The 15,539-nt window shown below is 31.8% G+C and overlaps 1 protein-coding gene across 1 annotated transcript; it reads right to left on the bottom strand.

The window, feature by feature from the left end:
* On the bottom strand, window positions 6,218-14,915 carry NTS (neurotensin). The gene is made up of 4 exons (NM_006183.5): window positions 14,734-14,915; window positions 12,509-12,570; window positions 10,641-10,865; window positions 6,218-6,987 (listed from the first exon to the last, which is right to left on the bottom strand). The coding sequence occupies exons 1-4, from the start codon at window positions 14,804-14,806 to the stop codon at window positions 6,835-6,837; spliced, it is 513 nt and encodes a 170-aa protein (NP_006174.1). The 5' UTR covers window positions 14,807-14,915; the 3' UTR covers window positions 6,218-6,834.

Below are 15,539 nucleotides of genomic sequence, written 5' to 3'. Positions count from 1 at the left end.
TTTTTTTTTTTTTTGAGACGGAGTCTCGCTCTGTCGCCCAGGCCGGACTGCGGACTGCAGTGGCGCAATCTCGGCTCACTGCAAGCTCTGCTTCCCGGGTTCACGCCATTCTCCTGCCTCAGCCTCCCGAGTAGCTGGGACTACAGGCGCCCGCCACCGCGCCCGGCTAATTTTTTGTATTTTTAGTAGAGACGGGGTTTCACCTTGTTAGCCAGGATGGTCTCGATCTCCTGACCTCATGATCCACCCGCCTCGGCCTCCCAAAGTGCTGGGATTACAGGCGTGAGCCACCACGCCCGGCCTGAATTCAGGTTCTTATACTACCACTCAGTTTGAAATTGGGCAAGTGACTTAATCTCTCTGGAGACTCAGTTCTCTTACCTGTAAAATATTCTTAATATCTACTTTAAAAAATTACTATAAATAATATGTACAATAAAACAAAAGTAGGATGTTGAAAAGCAGTGAGAGAGGAGACATCCTTGCCTTATTCCTGATCTTAGTGGGGAAGCTGCTAGTTTCTTATCATTAAGTATACGGTTAGCTATAGGTTTTTTGTGGATATTCCATATCACACTGAGGATGAACCCCTCTATTCCTCGTATACTGAGAGTTTTAATCATGAATGATTCCTGTATTTTGTCAAATGTTTTTCTTCATGTACTAATATGAACATGGGATTTTTCTTTTTTAACCTGTCAATGTGATAAATTACATGAATTGTTTTTCAAATGTTGAAAAATATTCATACACGCAGGTAAAGGATTGTTATGTCTGTTAGAAGAATTGATTCCTTTATCATTACATAAGAACTCTATTTCTGATAACTTATTATGTTGTGAAGTCTGTTCTGTGTAAATTTACTATAGCTACTCCTGCAATAAGAGAAATGTGAAGAAAATTCTAGAAACATAGGACATTTGATTTTATAAATTATATTATAAATATTGTTATTTCTCCTGAGGTGGGTGTTTAAAACAGATATTTCATACAGTATAAAAATTTTCAACAAAATTTGGATAAAAGTCTGTGTTTGATTGGAAGCCTTCAGGCTTCAAATGAATGAGGTTAGAATGGCAAAAATCAGAATTTAAATTCAACTTTTACATAGCTCAGACTATCTTAGTGGCAACATCTCAAACAGCACAAATATAAAGAATAATCTTCCTAACTTGAAATATTAAAATAATCTCAGTATCTTTTGTTTATTCTTTCTTCCTACGTGCAAATTGCAGTTTATATTAGTTCTTTTCATATTTTACAAATCCATTTCTTTCCATTGCAGCTATAGATGATCCTGAACTTACAATGTGGTACATCCCAATAAACTCATCATAAATGGAAAATATCATAAGTTGAAAATGCATTTAATACCCTTAACCTAATAAATATCAGCTTATCCTAGCCTGCTTTAAATGTACACAGAACAGTTACATTAGCCTGGCCTGGGCAAAATCTTCTAACACAAAGCCTATTTTCTAATAAAGTGCTGAAATTCTTATATAATTTTTTGAACACCATACTGACAGTGGAAAAACAGAATGGTTGTATGGCTACTCAAAGTATGGTTTCTATTAAATGTATGCATATTACTTTCACAAAGTCTGCTCTATCTAAATTTACTATAGTTACTCCTGCTTTCTTGTCAGTAGTGTTAGCATATTATATAATTACTATCAATTTACTTTTAATCTATACGTGTCTTTATATTTTAAATGGGTTTCTCATAGATAACATACGGTTGGGTCATGTTTTTTGGATCCACTCTGACAATATCTATCATTTAAATGATTCATTTAGACCATGGACATTTAAAATGATTATTCATATGGTTGGGTTAATATCTATTATATTTGTACTGTTTTCTATTTTTGTTCCTGCTTTTTAAATTTTTCACAATTTTTTTCCTTTTTTGGTTTTAATTGAGAATTTTATATTATTGTATTTGCTCCTCCTTTTAGTGTATTAATTGTATGTATTGTATGTGTTGTTTTTTTTTCTCTATTAGTGGTTGTCTTAGAGTTTACAGTATATATTTACAACCAACTCAAGTTCATTTTCAAATAACATTCTACTGCTTCATAGGTAATGTGAGTGCCTTATAAGAACAAAGCAATCGGGTGGGCTCGGTGGCTCATGCCTATAAACCCAGCACTTTGGGAGGCTGAGCCGGGAGGATCATGGGGTCAGGAGATCGAGACCATCCTGGCTAACACGGTGAAATCCTGTCTCTACTAAAAATACAAAACATTACCCAGGCATGGTGGCAGGTGCCTGTAGTCCCAGCTACTCAGGAGGCTGAGGCAGCAGAATGGCTTGAACTCGGGAGGCAGAACTTGCAGTGAGCCGAGATTGCACCACTGCACTCCAACCTGGGCAACAGAGCGAGACACTGTTTCAGAAAAAAATAAAATAAAATAAAATAAAATAAAATAAAAAAAGAACAAAGCAATCCTAATTTCTTTCTTTCATCTTTTGTATCATTGCTGGCATTCATTTCACTTACACATAAGCATATACATACATATTTGGATGCATTGTTATTATTATAATTTTGAACAAACTATTATCTGACAGATCAATTAAAAATAAAAAAGTAGTAGTTTTTATGTTATGTACCATTATTATTTATTCATTTATGCTCTTCTTTTCTTATATAGATCAAAGTTTCTGACTGATATCATTTTCCCTCTGCCTAAAGAACTTCCTTTGACATTTCTAGCAATGCAGGGCTACTGGCAACACATTTTTTTCAATATTTGTCTGAGATCTTTATTTCCCATTTACTTTTGAAGGTAGCTTAATGGGGTAAGAAATTCTAGGTTGATGATTTCTTTTCTCTTAACACTTTAAATATTTTCATTCATTATCTTCTTGCTAACCTGGTTTCTGAGGGTGTCAGATGTGATTCTTTGCTCTTCTACAGGCAAGGTGTTTATTTCTCTTGTGTCATTTTTTGGGATTCTTTTTTGGGTTTCTTTCTTCATCTTTGATTGTATTTAATTTGAAAATTTTTCCTTTCCTTTTCCTTTCCTTTTCCATTTATCCTGCTTGGTGAATCTGTGTTTTGATATCTGACAATAATTTGGGGAAATTCTCAATTATTGTTGTTTCAAATATTTCTTCTGTTCTTTTCTCTTTTTCTTCTTCCTTTGGTTTTCCCCCTATGCATAAGTTACATTTCTATAGTTGTTCTACAGTTATTGAATATTCTGTTCCACGTTTTTTCAGTCTCTATTTTCTTTGCTTTTCAGTTTTGGAGACTTCTATTGATATATATATATCAGAGGTCCACTGTGGGATTTTGAGATGGGGTGTGTGGCATAATTTAATTTATGCCTCTAAAAAGAAAGGTAGTGTGCACTCTGGGAGGCTGAGGCGGGTGGATCACCAGTGCCATTGCACTTCAGCCTGGGCAACAGAGCAAGACTCCTTCAAAAAAAAAAAAAGGTAGCGTACAAATATTATTCAGTCATAAAAAAGAATCAAATCCTGTCATTTGCAACAACATGGATGGAACAGGAGGTCATTATGTAAATGAAATAAGCCAAGCACAGAAAGACAAATTTGCATTTTCTCCTTAAGATGTTGCAGCTAAAAAAGTGGATCTCATAAACATAGACAGTAGATTGGTGGTTACCAGAGGCCAGGAAGGGTAGGGGGAGGGGGAGATAAAGAGATTAATTAAAAATAATAAATGGGCACCAACATACAATTTGATAAATAAAATAAGACCTAGTGTTTGATAGATCAGTAGGATGACTATAGCTTGCAATAGTTTATTGTATATTTCAAAATACCAGAAGAGAATAATTCAAATGTTTCTAGTATAAAGAAAAATATTTAAGGTGGTGGACATCCTAATTACACTGATTTGCTCTTTACAAATTATATGAATGTATTAAATTATCACATGTACCCAGAAAATATGTGTATTTACTGTGTACCAATGAAGAAGTAAATCAAAATTTGTAAAAAGGTATATGCTATGTGGATATAGATGAATGAAATTGATACCGGGGTGTGAAGCTGGGAAGAAAGGGCCATAGTTCAGAGGGAAATATGGTGGCTTACGATAGTAATAGTGAATGTGACAAGACACAGGTTTAAGATGTATTTTGAAGGCAAAGCCAACAAAACTTCTTAGTGGACAAAATGGGAGATGTATATTAAAAGAATAAATTAAGAATGACTATTAGATTTTTAGCCTGAGCAGGGATTAGGGCCATTTACTGAGAAGGAGACATGAAGAGGTGCCCCTGATAAGAAAAGAAAAAGTTCTTCCATCAAAATGGAAGGGGAGAAAAAGAATGAAAGTTAGATGCAGGGAGATGGTTATACTTGATAGAGAGGGAAGAATGATAAAAAATGTTTTCTTATTGTTTTTAATTTTTGGAGAAATAATTGAAAAGTCATCAAATGAAGTTAGGAGAATGAAAAATGTTGGAATTCAAAGAAGAGAGGGTATGAAACAATCATCACTGAGAATCAGAAGTGAAATTTATTAGACAAATGTAACAGGAATTCTGGGCAATAATAAGGATCCACCTGAGATTTGTGATTAAAAATTTTAAGTGTGGTTTTCAACAAGGCTGAACAATTTCTTTCAGTTATCTTAAGCTTTTTCAGTGAGGTCAGAATCAGGAGAGATTTAAGTTTAACTGCTAATGTTTTGAGAAACTTATATGATTTAACACAGAGGGTTGAGGGTAACAAGGGAGTCATTTTAATTTTGGAGCAAAGTAAGCTAACTAAAGAGGAAGATAAGGTCATAATTAGAAGACGAAGAGTAAAAAGACGTGGGACAATGGGTTGGGCAGAATCATAGATGCTGTAGTGAGAGTACTAGCTTATGTGAACTGGAGAAACAAGATGATGTTTCCAGAATAGAGTGCTTGAAAATGAGATTTTGAAAAGAATGAATTTATTGGTAGTGAAGTGTTCTGTGATATGACCATGGAAGTGACTGGTTGATATGAAAAGGTTAAATGTTCGTTATTGGAGGTGAAGATGTTCAGAAACTGAGAGAACAATAATTATTCAAAACACAGTAGATGAAATTGTCTTATGCCCTATATTTCAAATAATCCATAGTTTTTAAAAGGGAAAGGAAAAATGGTATAGTAGTGACCAGAATACATACCTCACTTCCAGATAATGTTACCACATATTGTAAAAGTCAGTCAGGCATTGAAAAAGCTATTAAGAAAACAATGACCATGAATTTCATAGAATAACCAATGAAAGGATTTAAAGGGTTGGAAAAGAGTGGGTGTTGGCTTAGAACAGAGTTTTGATGATGATGTATGACCTAGTAGATTTGAACTTTTGTTAACTAATGAAGTAAACAGGGAAGTATATCATCTGATGAGTACTTTCTTATGGGAAAGTTGGCACTACTGTTACTACTAATAACTGTTAGTGTGTTATTAATATATTCAAGGCATCATTCTAAGCATTTTATATGTATATATATATATATATATATCAGCTCATATCATCCTCCTGCAAACCTGATTGTTGTCTACATTTTATGATTCAATAAACAAGGAGGCTAAGTAAGTTGTCCAATACTGCTTAGTGCGTAATGGAGCTGAATCTAGGCATTCTAGCTGCAGAGAAGACACTTTTAATCATTATGAAATAGCTTCCTTCTTATAAGCAGGACTTTGGGCACTTTCAATTATGAGACTAATGGGATGGTAAGAGATGGTGGGGTAGTAGTAATGAGAAGTTGTGATTTTACAAGAAAATCTCAGAGATCTATAGATTTAACTTCTTTCAAGAGTAATATTAATCCTCAGGGAGGGACAATATTCTCAAAGGGATATGGAGTTGTAAAGGCTTCTTAATACTAGAACAACTCAAGATCTGATTTATCCTGCATAGATGACTGTGGGATAAGTTGCAGCCTTGTGAGGAGAGGACTTCCTAGACCACTATAAAAGAAAGAGTCAAGAAAGTCACTACTAATGATGACTTGCAAAGGCTTTGAGGGCTTCAGACACCGTATGTGTGATCTTAAAGAAAATTTAAAGGTGTTATTTCAAGCATAGCTTTTGCCTCAAATATGTCCTCCCAATTGAGAAAAATGTTAGTCACACAAATATCTCAGTGAAGTTAAAAGTAAAACTATTATTTACTAGATCAAAATGCAAAAGGGGAAAAATTATATAAAAAGTACCTCTATAAAGAACTAAATCTGTAGAGAAACATATGATTTTGATGGCTAGTTGTCTTTTTATTAGCTATCAAGTTCATTTAACAGACAAAAAATTCAGTTCAATGTCATTCATTAAAATAGGAAGAATTAACAATAGTTCATTAATCAATCTTTCAGCTGTTCCTATTTTATCACAATAACTTTTCCTATAATTGAGAGATTCATGAGGAAGTCTTGAAAAGAACGTATGTTTCTTTCAATTCCATAAAACATTCAGTCAAAATAATAAAAGAGGCGCTATTACTTTGTTTTGGGTGAATGATATGCAGGCTAGGCTTTGCTGTAGTACTTTGAGCTCATAAGCTGGTATAAAATATCAAACATTTTGACTGTTTAAACAACTCAAGATATGTTTTGCAAAATTACAAAACATTATACAGGTGACTTAATTAATATCTACTCCAATTATACACAACACATCATGCTGAAGATTTAGATTTATTTGAAAACACTTAGTCTAATTTATATTAGTGCAGAAAAATCACATTCAATAAACCACAATTGTAGAAGAGACAGATAAGTGTGTTTGTCACATTTTCACACAAATATAATTTGATATTTAATTAAGGGATGATGAATCACAATCACATGTAAATAAATGATTTATTCTCTCAGTAATAGTAAGAATCTCTTTTGAGTATGTAGGGTCTTCTGGGTTTATTCTCATACAGCTGCCGTTTCAGAATATAAGGAATTTTTCTCTTTATGACTTCTTCCTTTCCATTTTTGTCATTTCCAGTATCAAGAATATCTTCCTGGATTAACTGCAAGATAGAGATAAAATAAGTGAAACTTACATGAATAAACTCTTTTGTTTCAGAGCATTTTTCTACATTCTATCTCATTTGCTGTTAAGACAGCAAGACATATGTAGGTGAGATACGAGATACATGAAGTTCAAAGAAATTGTTTTTTCAAAGGAGAGACGGCCATTCAGTGGCTGAAATAGTATAAGAACATGGTAATTCTGACTCAGTTCAGTATTCTTCCTAGTTCACCAGGCTAGCTCTTTTAAAAAATTTCTATAAACTTTACTAACTATATATTTCAAGGCCGTACACTAATCCAGCCCTTTGAAGAAAAGCATCAAATAGACCTTTGAGTACTTTTCAGGCTTCAATTTATGATGGAAACACCAAAAGGATGAAATATATAATATATTACAATAAATATAGTTTTTGATCTGGTAAACCAAGTTTGGCCACAAAGGTAACAAAATGTTATATTCAATTAAGTCAGTTACTGATTTGACATGAAAACCATTCCAAGGATCTAATTCTCAATAGAGGGATGAAAGTTGCTTTATCCAACTTCGTCAGTTGTAGAAATCAACATATGGGAAAGCTCTGTTTAAATGATAACGATCTCTTTAGATGCTGGTGCTTAGTCACTAAAGCAAGCTCAGATTCAATAACTTAAGGGAGTTAAGCACCATGTAGAATCTTGCCTAAAATCATGAGGCAGGAGTATGCCCCATTCTAACATTAAGCATAATTTTTTTTCTAAGAATATGGCTCTGACTCAAAAATTTCAGTTACCATTTAAGAAATCTGTCCAGAGTTTAATATACAATTTACAGAAACTTTAAAAATATGTTAAAGATAAAAATTTTCTTTGTATTTTTGGTTGTCTTCTAATTTGAGGGGTCACTATAACAAATACTGATAGGGGACTAAGTTTTAAATTGCAATGCATATGAATAAAATCTTACAACCAAGTATTTTATTTCAACTCACAGCTATTCAATTTCAGAGGAGAAAAAACAGCTACTGTCAGACAATCTAGTTTCTTAATCTTTAGTTTTTTTGTGCATAGTCTGTAATTACTTGTACTATGCTCAGAAATTATCATTTTATTTTAAATCACTCAATAACATTTAAAATAGGGAAAAGTTTTAATCTTATTTGCACTTGATTGGTCTACATAATAGTTTACTGAGGTTTTTTTGGATAAATAACATATAATGGACATCTTCCTATATCAAAATATGTATTTTTCAAGTTTCTTTGACCTTAAACTTTTTGTTTGTTTGCTCGAGATGGAGTCTCGCTCTGTCGCCCAGGCTGGAGTGCAGTGCCGTGATCTCAGCTCACTGCAAGCTCCACCTCTCGGGTTCAGGCCATTCTCCTGCCTCAGCCTCCCCAGTAGCTGGGACTACAGGCGCCGGCCACTACGCCCGGCTAATTTTTTGTATTTTTAGTAGAGACGGGGTTTCACCGTGTTAGCCGGGATGGTCTCCATCTCTTGACCTCGTGATCCGCCCGTCTCGGCCTCCCAAAGTGCTGGGATTACAGGCGTGAGCCACCGTGCCTGGCCAAAACATATTTTAAATACTAAACAATTTACCAGGAATTTAATTAAATAATCAATAGTAAATTAAAAACTGGTCTTTTCAGTTTTTTGTTTAGAAATTATCTTTTTGCTTACCAGTTATAATAAACACTAGAAATTCTGCCTGCACTTCTTCTTATCCACAGGGTAGCTCTTTGGTAGTCAATCGCAAGTTTGTTAAATTAGCAGGGAAGACACCCTCAGATCCCCAATGTTAGTGTAAATCCAGAATATAAAATATTGACCAAGTTTCTCTTAGAGGTTAATTTGAAAGAAATGTTTCCCTTGTCGAAAATTTTTAAAAATTTGTTTTGATTTTGTTAAAGAATTTATTTTTCTTCCCCCTTCTCTTCTTTATCCTGACATTGTTCTATATCTTTCCAAAGCTGTAATTTATCTTTCAGAGCAAAATATATCATTGAAGACAATAAATTGTAAAGCATTTTGCAAGTACATTATTACACACTAAGTTTTGTGTGTATTTATAAACAAACACAGAACCGAAAGGTTTCCAAATAAACTGAAATGATGGGGATATATATCCTTACTATATATACCTTTATATAAATTAAAAAATATTTTTATTTTCCTAATATATTCAAATACAAAAGGTTCCAGATAAAACTGGAATAATAGGGATATATTAGGTTGGTGCGAAAGTAATTACGGTTCTTGCCATTACTTTTGATGGTAAAAACTGCAATTACTTTTGCACTAACCTAATATATCCTTATTCTATATTTTTATATACATAAAATATATTTTTATATATTTTATTTATATATATTTTAAATATATGTAAATATACATAAAAATATATTTTATATACATAAAATATACATAAAAATATATTTTATATACAAAAATATACAAAAAATATATTTTATATACAAAAATATACAAAAAATATATTTTATATACATAAAATATACAAAAAATATATTTTATATACATAAAATATACAAAAAATATATTTTATATACATAAAATATACAAAAAATATATTTTATATACATAAAATATACATAAAATATACAAAAAATATATTTTATATACATAAAATATACATAAAATATACAAAAAATATATTTTATATACATAAAATATACAAAAAATATATTTTATATACATAAAATATACAAAAAATATATTTTATATACATAAAATATACATAAAATATACATAAAATATACATAAAATATACATAAAATATATTTTATATACATAAAATATACATAAAAATATATTTTATATACATAAAATATACATAAAAATATATTTTATATACATAAAATATGTTTTATATACATAAAATATACATAAAATATACATTAAATATATTTTATATACATAAAATATACATAAAATATATGGTATATACATAAAATATACATAAAATTATGTATAATATATTTTACATACATAAAATATATATATAATATATTTTACGTACATAAAATATACATAAAAATATATTTTACGTACATAAAATATACATAAAAATATATTTTACGTACATAAAATATACATAAAAATATATTTTACGTACATAAAATATACATAAAAATATATTTTATGTACATTAAAATATACATAAAAATATATTTTATGTACATAAAAATATATTTTTATTTGCCTAATATATTTAAATACAAATATTTATGTTTTATTCCAGTTTTACTTGGAAACTTTATATTCTGTGTTTGTTTATAGATCACTACATATGACTTTGTGTTTCTAAGACAACATTTTGAGTTGCTTAAATTTGTTAGACATGCCACCACCTACAACAACAAAAATTGTCTAAACATGCCATCCACTTAAGCATAATAAAAACATGTGGATCAAATCTGCCTTAAGATATATCCTCTTTTTAATATTGAAGAAAAACATATTTTGCTGAGTTTCAAATATTTGAAGGACACTTTGAAGATCTGAAGCAATGTTGACTTCAAAACATGGCTTGTTCTTCTTCAATACTTGTAACTCTTCTTGTTATGATTATGATTGGGAATTTAAGAAATTAATATAAATGAGAGCTAACTAGTGTAACTATAATCATATTAATATTTTGTTATTGCTATACCTCCCAGTGTTGAAAAGCCCTGCTGTGACAGATTTTGTGGAGCTGGTATATTGTCAACATTGCTTCCAAGCTAAAGCCATCTAAAGCAGTAGGAAGTTTCCTTCTTGCAACAAGCTCCTCTTCATGAACTTCTCCTGTTTCCTCAGCTGGGCTGTTCAAATTATTTACAAGACTGCAAACATTTAGCAGAGTCATCTTCCAAGAGGGAACATGTGCTTTACTAATCTGAAATATATTAAAAAAACCCCTGCAATTAAAACTTGTGTTACATGAGCAAGAAATGAATTCCTAGTGTGCTAAACCATCACATTTAGGGTCTAATTGCTACTCCAGTCTAATAAATATAGTGTTATTTATTTAGTAACATCAGTTCACAAAGTTGTATACTGCCAATATCTCATAACTTCTGTTTAATAAAATGCAATAGTTATATTCACATATACATGCACTTATGTGTGTACACACAGAGCAAAGTAAGAAAGCAAGGAAATTAAAATGATGGCAGAAATATATAAATGATATATATATCACAGATGAAAAATTAAAAATAAAAAATTATTCTGTCTCTATTACATTTCAGCTTAACATGTAATGGAGCAGTGACAAAGATGGTATTATTAAATGTGGACAATTACAAAGTATGAGGCTAGTAATGCATTCCACACATTAATAATTGTTATGGGTAGCATCACAGATTATATAGAACCTTCATGTATTAACTTGCATCTGGGAATTAGGTAAACCTATACCAAGACACCAAGACACCTAACTTATCCCATTTTCTAACACGGACTATTAACTTCAGTTGTCTATTTTTGAACTGAAGAGGTTGTAGCCATTGGTATTCTGATTGAGTACTAAACAATGAGAACACATGGGCACAGGAAGGGGAACAACCCACACCGGGGCCTGTCAGAGGGTGGAGTGGAGGAGGAAGGGCTAATGCATGCTAGGCTTAATACCTAGGTGATGGGTTGATAGGTGCAGAAAACCACCAAGGCATATGTTTGCCTATCTAACAAACCTGCACATCCTGCCCATGTACCCCAGAACGTATTCCTAGGTACAGATTGGAATTTTAAAAACTGGCTTTCAAGACCCCAATAGAGGAGTAATAGGGCCCAGGATACAAAGTTGTATTTGGCTCAATTAAAAAAAAAAAAAAAAAGAACATGTAAAAATAACATGTTTGTTATAGGGAGAATTTAAATCCAGACATACAATGAAGAGTACAGTTTAGTAATTCCTAAATACATTGTAGAACGGTAAATGTCTAGAAGATTACGAACTGCAATCCCTGCATTTAAAAACAAGGAAACACAGGTAAGCAAGGTGAACTAATCCACTTGCTAAAGATAAAATATTTAATAAGTCACTGTTTCAGGATTAGATCTCAATGCTCCTGCTTACCAGTCCATTGCTATCCCCTCTATACTACATTTCTTTTGCAGGTTGTCATGAACTTTTATTTCTAATTTAGGAACACCTTTTTATTTCCCCCAATATAATAAAAAAGGCAAAGAGCTCACTTTGTTTTCATTTAACTTGAGACCAATATACCTTTCATCATACCCAATGTAAAAGGCATGGAAGCAAGTTCCTTTAAAAACATTTACAGGCAAGTAAATATGTGTGGCAATTAATTAAAATTGCAACATGCTGATTGATAGAATTATAATTTCTTTGCCTGTCATATCAACACCTTTAACTTCTTTTAACTAAAAGAAATTTTTTTTTTCAAAAAGGAAATGCCTCTCAAGGAACTTTTCAATCTTGATGAGAAGTTATTACTATGGGAAAAGGATACCATGTTTATAATGAAAGTTCATATGTTCTTCAACTCAGGGTTAAAGAAAAGAAAAAGTTACCTTTGATGTATGCATATTGGTCAAGAAATCTGCTTCTAATGCTTTCATTTCCTCTTCTGAATCTGAGTAAAATCAAAATCAGGTTTACTATAATTACATATCATATAATTATATCATAATCTACAGATTTTAGGTTAATCTAAAAAAAAATCTTAGAGGTTAGTGTCTTTCTTATGTATTTTCTTAAAAATAGTAATCCTAAAAAACAAATTATAGTTATACTTTAGCATAATAGGAAGCTAAAATAGTAGAAGCACTTCTAAGAAAATAAGCATATGATTATTTTTCAGACAGCTATTGATCACTGGGAGTTGTTTAATCTTTGAATTTCAGGCTTTAAAAATGTGATTACATTGTATAACACATATTTTACCAAATATGCTAGAGTAGCTTATTTCTTACCAGCCACAGTTTACATATATAGAAAATATGCATATTAACATTTAAAAACACAACATAATGAAGACTATACAAGAGACTTTTTCAAGACAAAACCAAAGGGAATTGCTTACTGATAATTTTAGAATAATAAAGATACTGAGGTTTACTTAACTTGAGATGTTTTTTACAAAACACACGTTGAAAGAATTGTATTGTACTTTAAGAGAATTCAAAATTATGTATCCTCAATTTTTTCATAGGCATTTAAGGAAATTGTTTAAAGCAAAAGTGGAGCTGTTCAACAACACATGTACAACAGCATTGAAAATGGATCTCTGGATTTTTAAAAAACTCTATCCAAGTTTCTGTTAATGAATATTTTACAGAGAAGGAAAATTTGGAAAATACTATACAATAATAAAAATAAAGTTAAAAATGACTCTATCTTCCTTGTACTACACACTCAGTAAAAAGAAATGCCACAATTGGAGAACCCATTGGCTTAATTTTACCTAGAACCTAAATTATACAAGAGATCTTTTCTCACTATTTGTTAGAGACATAATCTGTTTTAGGAATTTATGAACAATGTATACCAAAATCCTTATAACTATTGCATTATTACAACAAGTAGTTTCAAGTTAATAAACACAGTGCTTAATCAATAACCCAGTTTTTCTTCCAGAAGTATGTGAATCTTTAATCTCATATAACTTTCAGATAAAATCATAATTATAGAAAAGTTTGTTTTTTCTCATAAGATTTAAAAAGTAGAAGCTGAAAGTTATGTTCTGATGATTAAAATAAATTTAAAATTTTGTATAAATCACATTTATATCTTCTTAGATTTTAATTTCATAATTTAAATCAAATGATAGCATGAGTTTGAGTTAAACATTTCCATGTCATATTTATGATACATAAAAGCACAGAACAGGTTAAATTATTTTTGCTGCATTTGCTTCCTAATGTGTTCTTTTCCCTTTGAAGTGTTCATTGTAATATTTCTTAAATATTAAGTAGAGCCTTTTGCAATGGTTGTAATATTTCATGTTATACCTTTCAATTTAAGTCTTATTTTCAAAGTGAGTTATTCGTAGATACTTAGGACTATATAACTTCTTTCAAACCACATGCAAAACACTCTAAAGTCAAATAATTTCCATCAATATAAGAATACCAATTTTCCAATTGTATTTTGTATTAACTTAAATGGCATGGAAAAAATGCCAAACAGTTATATTAATAGCACACTTATTAGACTATGCAAATTCTGTTCTCAAAAAGGATCTGGAATATTTTTGTATTTTTCTAGAAATAATTTTCTACAAATAATGCTTCATTTTTCACTAAGTATCAATTTTCACTTTATTTGTTATCTTAACACAAACAAGAAAATAATACGGGGACTATTACAAGGGCGTGAGGGCCACCGCTTCCTAAGAGAATGAATGAGGATGAGAGTAAAACATTTTGAATGGAATGGGATTTAATGATGGGTTTGCAGGTTGACAGCCACTGCCTCTGTATTTCTCATTAGATAATGATCAGCCTAATTGAAAGTTTTGTAGGGTTTTTTTCCCTCTAGTTGTTGAATTCCAAAGGAGGTCGTGCAGTGTTTCATTGAAATCCCTTTTATTGCTTTGCAGATTTTAAAAGAGAAAATACATCTCTCAGTAATCATAAAGGCAGAGAAAGAGATACTCAGTTTCTGTCACTAAAAGGTAAATCCTGAATAAAAGGGAGCAACTCTTCTCCCCAGATACATTAACATAAGTAGCAACACACTGCAAAAGAGAAAAAAGAAATCACTTCAGGGAGTTGTGAAATTCTGTTTTGCTTACCTGAGCACAGACTCCAGGAGCTGAAAGCCAGGAGTAGCATGCATACAAGCTGGATTTTCATTCCTGCCATCATCTTTCAGCCTTCTAACAAGCCAAGTCCGTAAAAGTCAGAAGCACACTGAAGGGGGCTCTCTCTAGCACTTCCTCTTTCCTTCAGCTGGCTTTGAAAGTGAGTGAACTATGAGAGGTGCTCTGGCCATTCCCCTATATATATAAGCAGGAGGATGATGTCATTGATTGTACAGACATTATCTTTGCAGGATGTGCCCTATCTTCACCTCCATCCCTCCCCTCTTTGCCCTGCTTTCTCCTCCCCTTTTCCTTTGTCCCCCCTGCTCTCCTCCCCCATTTCTGAACCTTGAGTGAAAGTGACGATCTTCCCTAATTGCTGCTGCTGCTGCTTTGGATTTCTGACGCACAGAAGGAGTCATTCAACTGCACTGACATACAGCATACATACAGCATACTGACAAAGAACCCCCAGTATCATCCTTTTCCCACTTCTCATTCCCCCACTCCAAAAGTTGTCATTTTGATTTTGTGAAACATGAGATCTGTTATTTCTAATTTTTAAGGAAAATCTCCAGGATGAATGCATGAAATCAGTGATTCCTTAGGCTTGGAAGTTCTTGAAGAGTTAGGGTGCTTCTCTGGTAATTCAAACTTCTGAGCAAATGTTTAGTGGTTCCAAAACTAATACAGGTTTTAAATAATCCATGCTGGAATAAGATGGAATAGAGACAGAGAATCAGTTATAAAAATTAAGCAATTAAGTTTAGAGAATAGAAAGAAAATCAATAAAAAGA

This window comes from Homo sapiens, chromosome 12 (genome assembly GCF_000001405.40).
Source record: "Homo sapiens chromosome 12, GRCh38.p14 Primary Assembly".
Taxonomy (NCBI): Eukaryota; Metazoa; Chordata; class Mammalia; order Primates; family Hominidae; genus Homo; species Homo sapiens.
Note: the sequence above shows the minus strand (reverse complement) of the source record. Positions and strands in the feature narration are given on the sequence as shown.

Excerpts from the sequence above, each read along its gene's own strand:
- NTS (NM_006183.5), bottom strand. The coding sequence starts at position 14,806 with ATGATGGCAGGAATGAAAATCCAGCTTGTATGCATGCTACTCCTGGCT. Across the intron at positions 10,866-12,508 it reads CCAATATGCATACATCAAAG|ATTAGTAAAGCACATGTTCC; the intron begins GTAACTTTTTCT and ends AATATATTTCAG. Across the intron at positions 6,988-10,640 it reads GGGCTTTTCAACACTGGGAG|TTAATCCAGGAAGATATTCT; the intron begins GTATAGCAATAA and ends TCTATCTTGCAG.